Source organism: Homo sapiens, chromosome 20 (assembly GCF_000001405.40).
Source record: "Homo sapiens chromosome 20, GRCh38.p14 Primary Assembly".
NCBI classification, from domain to species: domain Eukaryota; kingdom Metazoa; phylum Chordata; class Mammalia; order Primates; family Hominidae; genus Homo; species Homo sapiens.
This window is the reverse complement of record NC_000020.11, coordinates 2375591-2394102: the sequence shown is the minus strand read 5'-3', so window position 1 is coordinate 2394102 and position 18512 is coordinate 2375591. Positions and strand designations below refer to the sequence as shown.

Below are 18512 nucleotides of genomic sequence, written 5' to 3'. Positions count from 1 at the left end.
GGTCAAACTGGTCTCGAACTCCTGACCTCAGGTGATCTGCCTGCCTTGGCCTCCCACAGTGCTGGGATTACAGGTGTGAGGCACCTTGCCCAGCCTCTTGGTCATTAAGTTCTGTAAAATCACTGCAAAGGTTGAATTAATGAGAACTGGCCCATTGCCCTTAGGGAAAATAAATACAGGTTTAGGTTCCTGTGAGCCTCTGGTCCCAACTTATTCATCAGTTGATCAGTATATAACCTTATTATATGTGCGTTTCTGTTTAAAGATACATTATTAGGATGGGCGTGGTGGCTCGCGCCTGGAATCCTAGCACTTTGGGAGGCCGAGGTGGGCGGATTGCCTAAGCTCAGGAGCTCGAGACCACCCTGGGGCCAACATGGTGAAACCTCATCTCTACTATAATACAAAAAATGAGCCAGGCGTGGTGGCGGGTGCCTGTAATCCCAGCCACTCAAGCAGGAGAATCGCTTGAACCCGGGAGGTGGAAGTTGCCGTGAGCTCAGATTGCACCACTGCACTCTAGCCTGGGCCACAGAGCGAGACTCTCCCTCTCAAAACAAACAAACATAATTTAATATATATTGATGATTCATTAATATTGAACTTGTGGCCAGCAGCGCTATAGTTCATGCCTGAATGTTCACCTAACACATATTTTTAGTGTAAGGCGTGTCGCAGCTTTCCTGCTCCTAGGAACATGAGACAGCACTTCAGTCCTATGCTCAGCGGCCATTTTAAACAGAGAAATCACCAACAAAAAAAGCACAAAAATGCAAAAAAAACCCTAGTTTTAAATGAACAGAGAAAGGTTATTTGTTTATAGTATGACAGCTGAAATGAAGAGGCAGAATATTGCCTGTTCAGCTTCAGCTGGGAATATGCATGTCAGGTCAGGTGACAATTTTTCCGCACTCTGTGCATGTCTGTGAATGGCCAAGAAAGTGCAGAGTATAGATTTTGGCTTTAAAAATAAATATTAGCAACGTGCATATACAGAATCCACAAGTGTTGAGGATGGACTGTATAATCTCTATGCCAGGCTGGTGTCTGGTGCTGAGTATATAGATGTGGGCTTGCCCTCAATGCATGGTGCGGTGAGACTGTATGGCTCAATGGTTATGAGGAGGTCCTCTGGGGGCAGCTGACATGGATTCAGATTCTAACCTGGCCATCTACTGGCTGAAGCACCTTCCTTTTTCTGAAACAGAGTGTCTCTCTGTCACCCAGGCTGGAGTGCAGTGGCGCAATCTCGGATCACTGCAATCTCTGCCTCCCAGGCTCAAGTGATCCTCTCATTTCAGCCTCCCAAGTAGCTGGGTCTGCAGGCACATGCCACCATACTCAGCTAATTTTTTGTATTTTTGGTAGAGACCAGGTTTCGCCATGTTGCCCCAAACTCCTGAGCTCAAGCAATCTGTCCGCCTTGGCCTCCCAAAGTGCTGGGATTACAGGCGTGACCACTGTTCCTGGCCCGCCTTCTTGACCTCTCTGCCTCTCAGTTCCCCGCTCTGCAGAATGGGAATAATGCCTGTGGCGTGATTGTGAGGATAATGGCCCCTGTCATTTAGAGTCCTCGTAACATGAGAGCTCAATCATCGTTACTTATTATGTTCCAGGGGTGACACCTAAGTAGGTGAGTCCACATAACTAATTCTTGCTTTGATACATGCTATCAGGGAGAAGGATGGGAGCTGAAAGAACACTAACAGAGGGCTTGGCCTAGTCTGAAGGGGCACAAGCAAGGCTTCCTCCAGAAGGCGGAACTGAGGCTGAGTCTTAAATTGGATGAGTGTCTCCAGGAAAGAGTTGAGTGTTGGATCTAGTCTCAGCCCAAGCATCCTCTTCCCCTATTCAGGGTTCATTCATTCACGTGCTGGGCATTGTGCTGGATGCTACAGACCCAACAGTCCATCAAATACGCACTGGCCCTGACATCATGCAGTTGATAGCCCAGTGGAGAAGACTGGCATTAAGCAGATAGACCTCAAACCTTTTGGGTCAAGCTTTGAGATGAACCCTAAGGGAGAGGCATTGGGAGTCCCAGGAGCAGAGAACACCTAAACTCAAGTAGTTAGATTAGCAAAACTATTTGCCAGAGTACTATAAGCAACAGCTTAAAACACCAGGATGTGTGCAGCCTTGAATTCTAGCCAGCAGCTATGGCGCTAGGCAGAGAGACAGGAGGAAGCATGGTGACTTCTAAAATTTGAGAGAAAGCAGATGTGTGGGGAAGGCAATGAGGTTGGAGGGGCCCATAGTCGGCAGACCACCAATGCTTGGAGTGGGATGAAGAGTCTGCCTTTTATCCTAAGGGCCGTAGTCAGCCAAATATTGTTTTAAGCAAAGCTGTGATGTAATCAGATTTGCACCTTGGAAAGATCATTCTGGTGCCATGTGGAAGATTGATTAGATATCTGGTGAGATGCTTTAGTAAGCAAAGGGATGTTCCAAGAAACTGCTGCTTCATCTTGTCAAACATCTGCTCCCAAATCTCCACTGGATGCCCCATTGTCTCTTATGATCTGTCCAAGCTCCTTCATCTTGGACAAGGAACTAGGCAGGATCCCATTGCTTTCCACTCCTCCAGCTCACCCCCCACCCCCTCACAGCTCAGTTACTCTTTGCACTGGCTGCATCAGACTCTACCTCCACAACCTCCTGCCCCGACGTCGCACATATCTCTTTCCTGCCTTGTGCTTTTCCTAAGGCCCCTCCTGGTTGGGGTGCCTGTGATTGTCTTCTGAGATGTTCCTGCCTCGGCCCTGCCACCAGAGTTCATCTCTCCTTTGTCCAATCAGCTATTAGATTTGGGATAACACAAACAACAATAATAAAATCTTTGTATGTATTCAAGTGCTTATGCCTCCTAACATACACCTAAGGGAGGTACTATGGCCCCTTTCATTTTCTAGATGCTGTCATGCTCACTGGGTTCCCTATTTCACTTCCCCTGTGCCCCCACCCCCGCATATCCTCAGGGCTCATTCTCAACATGGAAGCCAGAAGGATCCTGTTAAAATCTAAGATCACTCGTTGTTCTCAAGCTCTCCATTGGTTCCTGTCTCTCTCAGCAGAGTTGAAGTCCCGACAATGACCCACAAGCCCTTCAAGATTGAGCACTTTGATATCTTTTTTGGGCCTTCAGTTTCTCTTCCCCTCTCTCATCCCTTTAAGCCACACTGATCTCCTTATTTCTCTTTGAATCTGCAGACAGGCTCCCTCTTCAGGGCCTTTGCACCTGCTGTTCCCTGTATGTGGATCACTCTCCTTTCAGATTCCTGCAGAACCTGCTCCCTTGCCTCCTTCTTCAAGTCTTTGCTCAAATGTCACCTTTTCAGTGGGACCTTCACTGACCACTCCTTTATAAATTGCAAATCACCCCTACTCTCCTTCTCCACTATTTTCCTCCATGGCACTTACTGACATCTTACAATATATTTTATTTCTTTATTTTAATTGCCTACCTTCCCTTTCAAGAATATCAACTGCATAAGGGCAGGGAGCTGTGTCTGTTTTGTTCATTAGTGAATCTTCAGCGCCTGATACATGGAAGGTGCTCAACAAATATTTCTTAAATATATTAATGAATGAATGAGGAAACTGAGGGAAAGAGAAGTGAAATAACTTGCCAAAGGGCACACAAACAAGCAAGGGCTGGAGTGGAGTCTGTGGGCATCCTGGCTTCCAGCTGTTGACCACTGGGTCAGTGGTTATACTAGTTTTATTGTGATTAACATAAGAAACAGTTTTAAATGTTCCATACTCCATATGCCTGCGAACATACATACATGCACAGATATAAACTGAAACAAAAGTTTCATTACTATTTCCCCGTATTATGAATGATGAATACTGAAATTTATTTTCTTTTTCTGTCAAGGCTCTCTACCCAAAGACCACCAGGAACACATCAGTACAATGAACAGGAAGGGCTCATCGCTCACGGCAATGAGAAAGAATGCTCACCACAAAGAATCACGGAACATCTCGGGAAGACAATATTAGAGAGGACTTACAGGATTGCGGCTTGTGTTAGGTGGTTTGGGGAGAGTTCAAAGAAGCAGGGCTTTGCTTGGGATTGGAGGCTTCTCTGGGAATGAGGCAAGTCTATGTCTGAGTATCTTAATAGTCCTTACGTAGAAGATGGGAAGAATGAATTGAGGCTAGTGTCATAAGTAGTAAAGAAGCAGCCGTTATTCATATTAGCCCATCTATAGGGCTAATATGTCAGTAGATCGAGACCAGTAAGTGGCTTAGACAATGTTCATGTTTTTGTCTGTGTTCACTCATGATTATGGAGTGGCCTTGTTTTTGTCTTGATTCACTACAGTCGCAGGATGGCATCTGATCACTTCATCATGTCTTCTGGTAAAGTTTCAATAAGCATTTACATACTTAACTATGTTTAGTGAAAAATTGATTTCCTCTTATTTACTATTTATATTATAGTTAGGATACAATTTTTTAAAAAGTGGAGTATAGAGGTAGGTAAGATGTGTCAATTCAATTTCAGGTTGGTGAAGGGACACTATTAAATACTTGTTATATTGAGAGGGAGGGTATTACGGACAAAAAAGTTGATGTTTTACTCATCTATTGCTTCTTAACCAATCTGTTTAACCCAGAGTTTAGCTTGGAAAAATGATAATCATATGTTATCTTTCATGGTTTTTGTGGGTCAGGAATTTGGGCAGAGCTCCACTGGCCAGCTCTTAATTGGAGTTTCTTATGGGGTTGCAATCATATGTTAGCTGGGGCCATGTTCATCTGAAGGCTTGACTGAGGCTGGAGGATCCACTTTAAAGGTGACTAACTTACATGGCTGGCAAACTGGTGCTGAATACAGGTTGAGGCACCTTGGTTCCTTTCCATGTGGATCTTTCCATGGGAATGCTTGGGTGTCCTCCTGGCATGGTGCTTAGTTTCCCCTGAGCAAGTGACCTGAGAGACCATGGTGGAAGATGCAATGCTTTTTATGACCTAACCTCAGAAGTTACACAATGTCACCTCCGCCTTATCCTATGGGTCAAGGCAGTTACAAAGGCCTATGTAGGTTCAAAGAGAAGGAACATGCCCCATCTCTTGCTGAAAATGTACCAACGTCATGTCCCATTGTAAAAAGAATATTGAGCTGAGATGTATACTGATATGACCACCCTGTGAAATATAATCTGCCACAGTTGAGAACCACTGAAGTTACATCACCAGGTACTCCCCACCAAAGGACACTTGTCATGCAACTCTTGGCTGTATCTTATTTGATGCCAAGCATACAGGAAATGTCAGTAATTGTTGGCTAGACCATTGGATAGGTTTTATTTAATAAATCTTCCTATGAACCAAGTGCTTTTCCAAATATTTTATAAATATTAGCTCATTTAATCTTAATAAACCATATGAGGGAGGTACTGCTGTTAACTCAATGTCACAGATGATAAAACTGAGGTACAGAGTTACACAGCCTGTTTTTTTTTGTTTGTTTGTTTGTTTTTAATTTGAGATAGGGTCTTGCTATGTTGACCAGGCTGGTCTCCAACTCCTGGCCTCAAGCAATCCTCCCATCTCAGCTTCACAAAGTGCTGGGATTACAGGCATAAGCCACTGCACATGACCCAGAGTTACACAGCCTTCTAAGTGATGGAGCTGGGAATCTGCCTCCTGAGTTGGTGGCTTGTCTATCCCCAGGCTATGGTGCCTTTATCTTTGACCCCATAGGAGTCACAGCCTAGAAGTTACAGACTGTAAAATTCAACGTGAGCTTCACCACAGGCATCAGATCAGTGGCTTGTGTGGGCAAGTGTCTGGACAGGGCTGGTCAAAATGTTTGGCTTTTTAAAGATTCCAGCATCTTTGTAAAATCTTTTAGTTAACAGCATGTGGCAGATTGATTTTCCAAAGGTGGTTGCAATAATATCTCCCATCCCACATACTCTTCTTTCAATATGATGTTGATACTCCTCTCATTGCAGAAGTAAAGCATATATTCCCACCCTCTGGACCTGGAAGACTTGTGGCTAAGACAGAGTGACACATTGTGACTTCTAAGGCTAGATTATAAAAGTTAATACAGCTTCTTTCTGGTTCCCTTGGGTTGCTTGCTCTTAGAACCCAGCCACCATGCCATGAAGAAACCCAAATGGCCCACGGAGAATCTCACCTGGAGACGAACCAAGGCTTCCAACCCACAGCCCACTGAGCTCCCAGCTGACAGACAGAATTATCTGGAAGCCATGGGACTGAGCCATCTGGCAAGTGGGTCCTTCAGCCCCCAGGCAATCTGCCCCAGCTGATGCAGACGCAAGCTGTCCCTGCCGAGCTCTGCCCAAATTGCAGGTTCCTAAGCAGGAGAATGATTGTTGTCTGAAGCCCCTAAGTGCTGGGGCAGTTTGCTACACAGGAATTGAAAACTGAAACATGGAGAGAGCCAAGATTCTTGTCTAGACCACAACAACCTCCCAACTGCTCTCCACCTGTGAGCTGTCTGGGCTGGTGCTGTGGTCTCAATAATCAGGCTTGAGATTCATGGAAAATACTAGTTTTAGCTTAGCCTAGGCCAGAAGCCCCTGCTGGCATCATGATATGGGGATAATGACTGAACATGTGGGTAGGAACTCACATAGCTGACACATGTGTCCCAAGATTGGGAGCTCCTACAGCCCCTGCTGTGGTGAGTGAGCACTGTGCAGGACCAGTGTTCAACAGTGACCCCATGTGGCACGAGCTGGAACAACAGTTCCAGGGGGCTTTTCCATTACCCTTGCCAATTCTCACAACAGAAAGTAAAACCAAATCTTTCACATCAAGTTAGCCCCAGTCATTCTAGGGCAGGCACAAACCTCTGAAACTCCAAAACTTTGAGCTCAGATGACCTTGGTTTAGTCAGAAAACACAAGCAGGACCCTCTCCCGCAACCAGGTACCTTGTACATAGAATTGTCAAGTCTAATATCAGCAGAGCTGGAAGAGCCATTAGGAGCTCAGGTCTCCATTTACTGACATATAAGCTGAGACCCAGAAATGGGAAGAAAGGGACTTCTTGCCTGAGGACACACTGGATTTGTAGCCCACAATTCATGTTGCTACTTCCCAAGCAATGTATGTAGGGACAGGCCAGAACAGGATGCTATTTTTTCAGTGGATGAGTCAGAAGCAGACGACGAGGTTGCTGGATGGTAATTATCTCAGCCCTGGTATGCCCCAGGGCTGGATACAAGGGGAGTTTGGGATTGGATGAGGGCTGCTGGACCCTGGGTCATGGGTTCAAGCTCCATGGATCCTGCACTGGTTTCCCCCCTTCCCTGCCACAGCCCAAAGCAGCTCCCAGCACCCTCTGAGGCATCTGCATCCTTATCACAGACGGGCAAGAGGAGGTGGTGGGATGAGTCAGAACTGCCATTATCATCATTGTCCTGGAATCTCAGAGACCACCTCTCTCACAACTTCCTGCCCAGGCACAAATTCCCTTGGCCGAATTCTTGGTGGATACTTGATCATGGTCCCAGCTTGCCATACCTCTGAGAGGTAGCTCACTCACCGCCCAATGTTAGAAAGCCCTTCCTTCTGCTGAGCCAAGCTCTTTCTTCTTGCAGCTTCTCCCCATTTGTCCCTATTTTGCTCCCCATTAACCCCATAGAACACACTTCTTCTTTTGCTCCTTGATGGGGTTTTGCAGAAACCACCTAGAAATCCCAATCTGCCAGCCCCCGGCACCTCCCCTGCCCAACTCTACACTCACCCCATAACCCAGGAGGTCACTGTTCTGATCCCTGTGGAATCTGTCCCTGGAGCTGCTGCTTTGGTGATCTAAGTCATCCACATCCATCAGCATCACACCTCCATGACCTGCCATATGTGGTGTAATAGCCGGGGCTGGGGTCCAGGATTCTGCAGGGGGAACTACCGGTGATTTCAGATACGTTCTGTCCTAGCCAGTGTCCCTCTTAGTCCTCATGGGGACAGTGAGACTGACGGGCATGGGGAGAGGCTCCTAGGTATACGGCAGCCCAAGGCGAGGAGATAGATGTGCACTTGGGATGGTTTCCAGGCCCCTTGTCAAAATAAACCCAGTATCACCCCTTCCATGTGCTCAGCTCAAATTCTTTTAAGACGGAGGCTTCTGTCCCTTATCTGTGATCAGGGATGCTGTGTTATAGTTGTTTGCTTACATACGTCTCTCCCTCACTGGACTGAGAGCTCCATGAAGGCGAAGGCTGAGTCTCCCCCTCCCTGGGTTGCTAGAACCTGGTTAAGGGCCCAGGGCATATTAGGTGCTCAGTGAATGTTGGTTGGATGAATGAATGAATCTCCTTCCCCATCCCTTGGCTGGGGTACGGAATGGGGAGCTGATGCTCTGCAGCGTCCTTGGGCCCGCCCTCGAGGATCAGCACCCACACCCTGTCAGCTGCTCACGCTCCGACTGTCCACACCCCACCCACCCCATAATCCCTCTCTCAAGCTGTCACATTCCAAAGCCTGCCTTTCCTTCTTAACTTCTTTCCTTCCACAGAGTGAGAAAGAGGAGGGTGTGTGAGGCCTCTGACATGGGCAGGCAGACTGGCCACTGACCACCCACTCCCACCCACTGCCTCTCTGGGTCTGTTTTCTTCTCTGTAAAATGACCCAGAAGGAATCTGATGGTTTGGATAGTCTGTGGTTTGCTGAAGCAAGTGCTTCTGATTACCCCCAAGGACTCCTCTCAGCCCTCCTCCCTACAAGACAACCCCCACCTCAACACCTCCCCCCTCCCCAGCCGAGAGAGTGCTGATGTGAAGATTGTCACATAGCCTCTAGGACATGGTTTTCCTGCACTGGTTGTCCCTCTTCCCTGCCACAGCCCAAAGCAGCTCCCATCACCCTCTGAGGCATCTGCATCCTTAACACAGACGGGCAAGAGGAGGTGGGATGAGTCAGAACTGCCATTATCATCATTATCCTCAAATCTCAGAGACCATCTCCCTCACAACTTCCTGCCCAGGCACAAATTCCCTTGGCCGAATTCTTGGTGAATACGTGATCATGGTCCCAGCTTGCCGTACCTCTGAGAGGTAGCTCACCCACTGCCCAATGGAGGGGATGGGAGAGGCAGCATCTGCTCTAAGACTGCTCCAGTTGACAGTGAACCCAAGGCCCTGAGGACAGAACTGGCAGCCTGTTTTCAGCTCTGGGGGCCTTCACCCTTGGGGTATGCAGGATGAGCTCCCAGCCCAAGGCTAAAGGCTCGCCAACCCCAGGGCTGAGGCTGTACCCCCCAGGCACAGGGAAAGGATGTGGTAAGAGTGCTCCCTCCACCTGCCTGTTACCCCAAGCCTCATAGCCCCTCCAGCTTGTCTGCTCTCCTCCCCTTCTCCCTCTCATCGTCTTCTCAGCGCTTCCTTTCACTCTGCACAGCAACTAGAAGCCTGATTTCAGAGGCACACACTTGAGCTCACATGCAGGCTTTGCCCCTCGTTGGCTGTGTGGCAAGTGAGTGAGCTCTGAAACTCAGTCTCCTGGTGACAATGAGGGTGATGATCATACCCGCTTCCTCACGTTGGGAGGATTAAGTGAAATAATTCACATAGAGTATTTAGACTGGTACCAGGCACATACTAGGTTCTCAGGAAATGTGAGTGGTATCATCATTACTATTTACACAAGACCTCCTAGCTGCCATTCCTGTGCTCTGCCAATTCATGACATCCTGAATCATCTACTTGTTGGCTGTGTGGCCCTGGATCTGAGGATCCGATTTCCTTCTCTGGAAAGTGGCAATAATAATATCTTTCGTCTAGGGTTTCGAGGAGGATTAAATGGGGTAGTAATTATACATAGGGTAGTGATAAAATGCACCACTTAAAGCAGGAAATTCTGAGAGTGAAAGGAGAAGCCATTAATAAACACGCTAGGGCAATGGGCTTCCACCAGGATCAACGTCTCCCTATTCATCAGGTACGTAGCCTGGTGCTGGGTCCACAGTGATGAGCTCTACGAACAGGGATTTTTTTTTTTTTTTTTTTTTGAGACGGAGTCTCACTCTGTCGCCCAGGCTGGAGTGCAGTGGCACAATTTCTGCTCACTGCAAGCTCCGCCTCCCGGGTTCATGCCATTCTCCTGCCTCAGGCTCCCGAGAAGCTGGGACTACAGGTGTCCACCACCATGCCCGGCTAATTTTCTGTATTTTTAGTAGAGATGGGGTTTCACCGTGTTAGCCAGGATGGTCTCGATCTCCTGACCTCATGATCCGCTCACCTTGGCCTCGCAAAGTGCTATGATGACAGGAGTGAGCCACCGCGCCCGGCCTACAAACAGGGATTTTTACATCATCACTCCTTTCCCACATCTCCCCCATCACTTTGGTCCTCCCCTCCCCAATTCCTACATGCACGGGGTTTCTTGTTATTCTCCCCTCTTTGCTTCTCGCTTAAGCGACTGTATGGCCCCAACAGCTTCAGAGTGTTTTTCAGCTCAACCTGTTCAATCCATCCCATCACTATGGAGAAACTGAGGTTCAGAGAGGAGAAGGGACTTTTCTGAGTGTCAGCATGTCATTTTCCCTGCTCAAGCACCATGGAATCTACAGCCATCTTGTTGGCATTGAAGGTCCTTGACAGTCAGGCCCTGCCCATCACTTCTGGCCCTCTGACCTCCTCCCCAACTAATTTGCTCACCAGCTGGCCCCAGAGCTCCACCTAAGAAAGGGAAGGGTCCATGTGCAGAACATTGCCTCCTGCCGACTTAGCTCTCCACCCATCCCCACCCCCAAGCCTAGCTCATCCATCTTCCTCCTCCTGCCCTTGGGTGATACCAGAGAGCTGAATGATACAATCCTCCCCAATTCTTTGTCTCAGGCCAGTGGGCTTGAGCCCTGGAAACTCTGTTGAAGCCAGTGGCATCTTCCAGACTCTGGACTAAGCATAATTGGTTTTTAATGGGCCCCATTATAATCCTATGCTTAGTACGCATCATGAGCACCTGAACTCCATGACTAAATGATTTATCGAGAGTTGCCTGGGGCCTTTCTGGGGCCACTGCCCCATCTCTCTTTCCTTCCTGGTCTTGTTGGAAGCTGCTGGCCTCTCTTTCACCAGGAGGCAGTGACTCATCAACTCCAACCCAATGTCCCAGCCAGAGCCAGCCTCACATACAGTATTCCACTCAATTCTTGGAATCTCTGAGCTGAAAGATGATTGTAATTTAATCATGGCAAAAGGGTCTCACCTCCTTTGCCAACACTGATCAACTGGTACTTAAAGAGCTGGGTTGAGCATTCTGGGGCCACATCCAGGCTCCAGAGGGAAGAGCTCTGGGGTCAACTAGGGATGTCCACCATGGATGGAGTGAGGGAGGGGGGATAGAAGGAGCTCCAGGAAGATGAATACACTTTCCATCTAGGATCTGATGTCTCAGTCATTCAGGCACAGAGTGTGTGGTAGGCAGGACCTACTGCTCTGAGGAACAGATCCTCCCAAGAAGCCAAGAGGACCCAGAAGACCCAGGAATTGAATCCAATCCAACACATAGTCCATTTACATAGGCATGACAACTCCAATGCTGACATTTCACAGACGGAGAAACAGAGCTTCAGAGAGAGGAACCCAGCAAGTTAGTTACAGACCTGACAATGGGCATCATCATCAACTTTTTTCCTTCCTCAGAAACTAACCTTCGCACTGTCAAGTTTAAGTCTGATAGGTTATCAAAGGCCCAGGGAAGAGGGATCATCTAGGTGAACTTTGAGAAGCAGATCTTGGAGGAACAAAGGCAATCCCCTCTGCACCAGGGCCATCAGGGAGGCAACCCCAGCTCTGGAAACAGGCAGTCTGGGCTGTGAGCTGGTGTTGGCAAGGCCTGGTCTTCAGAACAGACCTATCCTAGGAGCCTGAAGGGCCCAACACGTCCAGCAATGCTGTTAACTGCCAGGAGGAAATATGAAGAGGAAGCTAGACTATGATGAGGAAATTCAAATATCTGCCTTTGAAAGTTAAAAAAATATTTGATTCATAAAACTGTCACATAATGCTGAACAATTAAAACTGGCAGACACAGACTCAGAAACACCCCTTGAATACCTGTGAGTGTAGGACCCCTGGTTCTGCTGACTTGCTCATTACCGGGCCCCAGCATCTAAGACAAGTTCTTGCAGAGGGAGTTTGCTGCTCACTATATTGAGGTCGTGGGGGACACATTATCTTACTTTCTTTTTTTTTTGAGACAGGGTCTCACTCTGTTGCCCAGCCTGCAGTGCAGTGGCACCATCTTGGCTCACTGTAGCCTCTACCTCCTAAGCTCAAGCGATCCTCTCACCTCAGCCTCCCAAGTAGCTGGGACTTTGGGTGTTCCCCACCATGCCTAGCTAATTGTTGTATTTTTTTGTAGAGACGGGGTTTTGCCACATTGCCCAGGCTGGTCTCAAACTCCTGAGCTCAAGAATTCCACCCCCTTCAGCCTCCCAAAATGCTGGGATTAGAGGCGTGAGCCACTGTGCCCGACCCACATTTTCTGAGTCTACTGTTTACAAGTCCCCACTTGAGATGTGTGGTGGGAGAACAGCACACGTGGTCTCACCAACTCCTCACAGCAAGGCTGTGAGATAATTTGCATTATAATCCCCATTACACAGATCAGAAAACAGAGGTACCAAGGGCAAATTTTCTTGCTCAAGGTCATATAGCTGTTTTCACTTGAGCCAGAGCTGCTCTTGCCCTCAAGTGCTTGGGGTGGGAATCAGGCGAGGATGCAGCCGGTGGGGGCCTCTCACTCCTTCCCACGCAGGCCACAATTCCCAACTATGCCCAGAAACGTCTCTGGATCCATGGAATGTGCATGGGGTGCAAGGAGATTTTCTTTTTTCTGCCCCTGCCTTCCTGTGCCTGCCTCCTTCAGTCCTCCGAGGCACAGGGGTGAGACCTGGCCCCAGCCCAGGAGACAGCGCCTGAGCCAGCCTGGGCCATGGCCTTGCTGGGTGGCTTAAAGCTGGCTTTTTCATCCTGGGCCTCATGAATCCACACGAAGAGTTCATGTGTTCATGGTGGACTATCCAGCTGTAAAATCCTAACAATCGATGATCAAACGTCATCCCACAGACCCGTGTTTCTTGAAGCCCCCCTCATGAGCCCTGGTGTCCCAAGGCCCCAGGCTCTGCCCACTTACCTGCCATGTGAAGGCCAGCTGGACTCCTCTGTTCCTCCACACAGCAGTGTGTGCACCGTCAGGACAGTGTGGCGCGTCACAGCAGCCAGCCAGACCAATTTTAACAAGGAAAACCTTGGGACACTCCTAGGCAGGAAAGTCAGAATTCAAAAGAGGAGGCGTGGCCCTCCACCCTAGCAGCGACACCCACGAGACACAAAATCATCCTGTAATTGCACCTAGAGGGGTTCACTGTGGGAGTGGCTCCTGCCAAGAGACCTTGGAAACACGGAGTTGCGAATGGGACTGTGGAGAAACTGAGGCTCAGAAAGGTCACAAGCCTGGCAAGAAAAAGAACGGGGAAAGAGAGAAGACTGAGGGAACTCGGATTTATGGTTGGCCATTCTTAGCCCTCACAACAACCCTCAAATGAGAAAAAACAGGCTCAGCGCCAGGACCCCGAAGTACATGGTTGCACGCTGCAGTGCCGGGTCAGTCTGTGGCTCCCTCTCCCCTCCTGGGTGAGAGCAGAAGACTCCTGGGCCCACAGCTCCACTCTGTTCTGCAGGCATCTAAAGAGGCAGAGGTCCATGATCCTCCTTCAGGGCCACTAGACTTCCTTGGTGGACACTAGACTCTTGAGAGGAGGTAGATAAGAAAAAGGGGAGAGCTGGTTCTGACTCAGAAGCTAGGCCCATCTGCCCTGACTTTGTGAGTGGCCTCCAGCCAGGAGCTTAGAGGCCTGGTGGCCATGGGTGTCCCGTGACCTTGGACAAGACCTCTCCCCTCCTGGAACCCTGGTGTTTCTACCTACAAACTAAAGGGATTGGACTCAATTATTCTTCAGGGCCATTCCAGCTCAAAGTCTAAGATTCTGGGCTTGAAGGTGCTGGAATTCAAGGCATCTGAGGTCTTTTGTTAATGAAATAGAGGGGATTTTATTTTCATGGAAGCCGGTGGGGTAGGTTTCTTTTTGCCGGAGAAATGCTTTGATGGATGACTTGGGGCTATCGAAGGCTGGATGTGGCCTGGGCCAGTGAGGAAGGGGAAGTGGGAGGGGGTAGAATCGAGGGAAAGAGACAAGGAAGGGTAAGGAGACAACCGTGTGCTGAGCACAGTAGGATGAGGCCGCTCCCTGGGATCACCCCAACATTCAGGAAACTGCATAAAAACCCCAAAGTGTTTGATGTGGTTGGATTTCTTACAGAAAGTGGCAAAGAGGCTGAGTTCTGCTTCCTGGTTTCACGCAGATCAAGCGTCTTTAATGAGCTGTCTGCAGACCCACATAGCCTTATAATTACTGACATCTGGCAGCAGCCCAGGGCAGCTCCTTCCTCAACACCCTGCAGGCTGCTGCCCTGTAGACCCTGGGCCCTGCTGAAGCTGCTTTTCTGCCTATGCAGGGTCAGGCTCCTCCCCACTAATGATGGTCTTATTCAGGGCCCTTTTATCTTTCATCCTGGGCTTGCTTGGACGGGAGCTCCCAGAAGACAGGGCATCAAAATCACTGCCTGCCCCACTGCTCGAGACCCCAAATAATAATTCATACTCCTCGTTTTTTTTTTTTGAGACAGGGTCTCGCTCTGTCACCTAGGGTGAAGTGCAGCGGCACGATCTCAGCTCGGTGCAACCTCTACTTCCCGGGTTCAAGCAATTCTCCTGCCTCAGCCTCCTGAGTAGCTGGGACTACAGGCGTGTGCCACCATGCCCGGCTAATTTTTTGTGTATTTTAAGTAGAGACAGTTTCGCCATGTTGGCCAGGCTGGTCTCAAACTCCTGACCTCAGGTGATCTGCCCACCTCAGCCTCCCAAAGTGCGAGATTACAAGTGAGAGCCACTGCACCCGGCCCATACTCAGTTTAGAAGTGAGCATCATAGCCTGGCAGTAGAGTCCTGGGTTCTGTTATCTCTGGGCCAAACTGGCTGTGTGACCTTCAGCAGGTCACTTACCTTCTCTGGGCCTTATTGCCTTCATCTGTAAAATACGGGTGTGAACTAAGTGTTACCAGTTCCAACATTCTCTGATTCTGATGATCAGGCTAGAGATGACAGACGGGAGCCAAAGCCTTGGGCGGCTCAGGGTACCCCAATGCCAGGCATAAAGTGGGTGCTTCACAAATTAAAATCTGTGCCTGGGGAATAATCAGATGCTTTAAAAGCAATTTAATTGTTCTTCTGGCTATAGAGATAATACATACTCAGGTACAAAATTCAAGCAATACAGGGAGTGAAGAAAGTATACATGCATACGGCTGTATACACATGGCAACAAATTTACATGAATCGCATCATACACAGAAGCTGTTTTGTAACCCGTCCTTTTTGCTTGACCAAACATGGTGCTCTCTTTTCTTTTCTTTTTTTGAGACGGAGTCTTGTTCTGTTGCCCAGGCTGGAGTGCAGTGGCTCGATCTCAGCTCACTGCAAGCTCCACCTCCCGGGTTCTCACCTTGCTTCTGCTTCAGCCTCCCAAGTAGCTGGGACTACAGGCACCCGCCACCATGCTCAGCTAATTTTTTTTTTTAATTTACTTTTAGTAGAGATGGAGTTTCACCATGGCCAGGATGGTCTCAATCTCCTGACCTCGTGATCCACCCGCCTTGGCCTCCCAAAGTGCTGAGATGACAGCTTTTCAAATCATAGAATATAGCTATGCACTGTCATTATTAATGTCATCTCTTGTGTGAATTTACATAATTTTACTAACCCTTCTTAAATTTATAAGAATTTAGGTCATTTCCACTTTTTTGCCCTTATAAAGAAATTTAATTGTTTGCATGTATTTTTGTGTGCTTCTATGATGGGACAATTTCTGCCAAGTGAAATTGTTGAGAGGAGCCATTCTTCAAGACAGCAATTCCATGTGCAGGAATTTGTCCGACAGATGGATCCAAAAGTGTGGAAAGATTTAAGTACGAGGATATTTATTGCAACATTAATTATAACAGAAAGAGTGAAAACTCTCCTGTCTTCATTAATGGGATAAATTATGATCTATCCATGTAATAAAATACTATGTAGCTATTTAAAAAGTGGAGGCAGACTGATGCACGTGGATATGAAACAGTCTCCTAGATACATTGCCTAATTAAAAACAAAAAGTAAGGTGGAAAATAAAAGGAGGTGGTAGAAACGAGAAGTCAGGGAGAAACCTAATTTTTGAACTCTTAGAAATGTTTGACTGTGGGTATATACTACCTTTCAAAAACATTATTATTATTATTATTTAAAATAACAAGCCAGGCATGGTGGTGTGCACCTGTAGTCCCAGCTACTTGGGAGGCTGAGGTGGAAAGATACAGCGAGCCCAGTTTGGGTCCAGCCTGGGCAACGTAGCAAGACTCTGTCTCTAAAAACAAATAAACAAGCAAAATTATGATATATTTTGCCAAATTTCCCTCTAGATACATACGTATCCTCAAACCACCATTTTTATTCTGTGGCACTCCTCATTCCAAAGGCCCTGTGGCTTCTCACTCCCAACAAGGTCCTAAGTTCAAACTCTTTATGGTGGCCTCCAATGCCTTTTGCAATACATTTTTTTTTTTTTTTGAGATGGTGTTTCACTCTTGTTCCCCAGGCTGGAGTGCGGTGGTGCGATCTCGACTCACTGCAACCTCTGTCTCCCCGGTTCAAACGATTCTCCTGCCTCAGCCTCCCGGGTAGCTGGGATTACAGGCACGTGCCACCATGCCCAGCTAGTTTTTGTATTTTTAGTAGAGATGGGGTTTCACCATGTTGGCCAGGCTGGTCTCGAACTCCTGACCTAAAGTGATCTGACCACCTTGGCCTCCCAAAGTGCTAGGATTACAGGCAGGAGCCACCACGCTTGGCCAGCAGTACCATCTTAATTTATCCCAAGTCTCTTTGTTGCTCTTCATGAATACTTGGCCTCACACAGGCTCAGCAGCACCCCCCCAGAATACCCCCAAGTCCACCATGGCATGAAGATGCTGAACAAGCTACTTCCAGAAATCATGTTCTTCTATCCTATGTGCTCAAGTAGGAGACCACAGCCAACAGTCAGAGTCATGAATCTAAAGTTTAGTAGGTTCCTGGCATGTAGTAGATGCTCAATGTATGAATGTTTAGATGGGTTACCTGTGTTTAGATGGTTGCCTCAGATCTTGGCTCTGGAGTCAAACTGCCTTGGTCAAATTTCAGCTTCATCACTTAGTTCTCTATTGGCAAATAAGTTAACCTTTCTAGGCCTCAGTTTTCTTATGTGTAATGTGGGGATAAAAGTAGTGCCTACCTCAAAGGGTTGTTGTAAAAATTAAATGTGAATATATGTAAAGCACTTAGAACACTGCCTGGCACACACCCAACAAATATTAGTTGTAATTATTTTTACTTTCTTCTTTTTATTTTCTGTATTGCTTTACTTTTCTATACAAATCTGTATTATCTTTAAAGTCAGGGGAAAGAATAAAAATTTCTCATTCATTTTGCCCCTTTTTCCCGTCCTAAAAACTGAATTCCAGCTCCACGTCCTTCCAGGAAGCCTGATTGCCATAGTCTCCAGGGGTCTTGACTGCTTGGAGCTCCTGGGCATGTCCATCATCTGTCCCTCTGTCTGTCCGTCCACGAGCCTCACACTGCAGTGGCTTGTTTCCTTCCCACCACAGCCTCCTTGATGAGGATGTCTTGAGGGATTCAGGTCTCTCTGTCCTCCCATCTGCTCCCCAGCACCATGCCCTAAATCCAGTGAAGAGGAGGTCGTGCTAAAGCACCCTGTCCTTTGGGGAGGAGTTCAGAGAAATAAGGGTCTCTTGATGGGGAGTGAGGATGGAAGAGAGGCTTTCTCCAGGGAGCCAAGCACAGATGCCTGGGCAGGGCCCCTCCCCTTTGATCTGTGATGAGTTGTTCACATGCTTAAGACACCAGTAAAGTGTGGATACCAAGCAGTTTTTTTTTTTTTTTTGAGGCAGGGTCTTGTTTTCTCCCAGGCTGGAGTGCAGTGGTGTGATCTTGGCTCACTGCAACCTCTGCCTCCTGGGTTCAAGCAGTTTGATTCTCCTGCCTCAGCCTCCTGAGTAGCTGGGATTACAGGTGTGCACCACCACGTCCAGCTAATTTTTTGTATTTTTAGTAGAGACGAGGTTTCGCTCTGTTGGCCAGGTTGGTCTCAAACTCCTGGCCTCAAGTGATCTGCCCAAAGTGCTGGGATAACAGGCTTGAGCCACCGTGCCTGGCCTGAATTTTAAAAAATATTTTAACATTAAAAAAAAAAAATCAAAGGACTCACCTTGGGAAAATAAAAACTGTGTTGTGTTTACTTAATTTCAAGTTTACTTTTGTTTTAATTATATGGATTGGAAGGGCACCATGATTTTTTTCAGGACTCAAAGCATCTCCCTAGCCCTGAATGTACAGTGGAATTTTCCAGAGGCTTCATGATATATA

General features: G+C 47.7%; 1 protein-coding gene across 2 annotated transcripts in view; it reads right to left on the bottom strand.

Annotated features, from left to right (window-relative positions):
* Positions 1-13202, bottom strand: part of TGM6 (transglutaminase 6) — a 51853-nt gene extending 38651 nt beyond the window's left edge. For both annotated transcript variants that reach the window (NM_198994.3, NM_001254734.2), the window contains exon 1: positions 13128-13202. In NM_198994.3, coding sequence (NP_945345.2) covers positions 13128-13134 — 7 coding nt within the window. In that variant the 5' untranslated portion in view covers positions 13135-13202. The remainder of the gene's footprint in view (positions 1-13127) is intronic.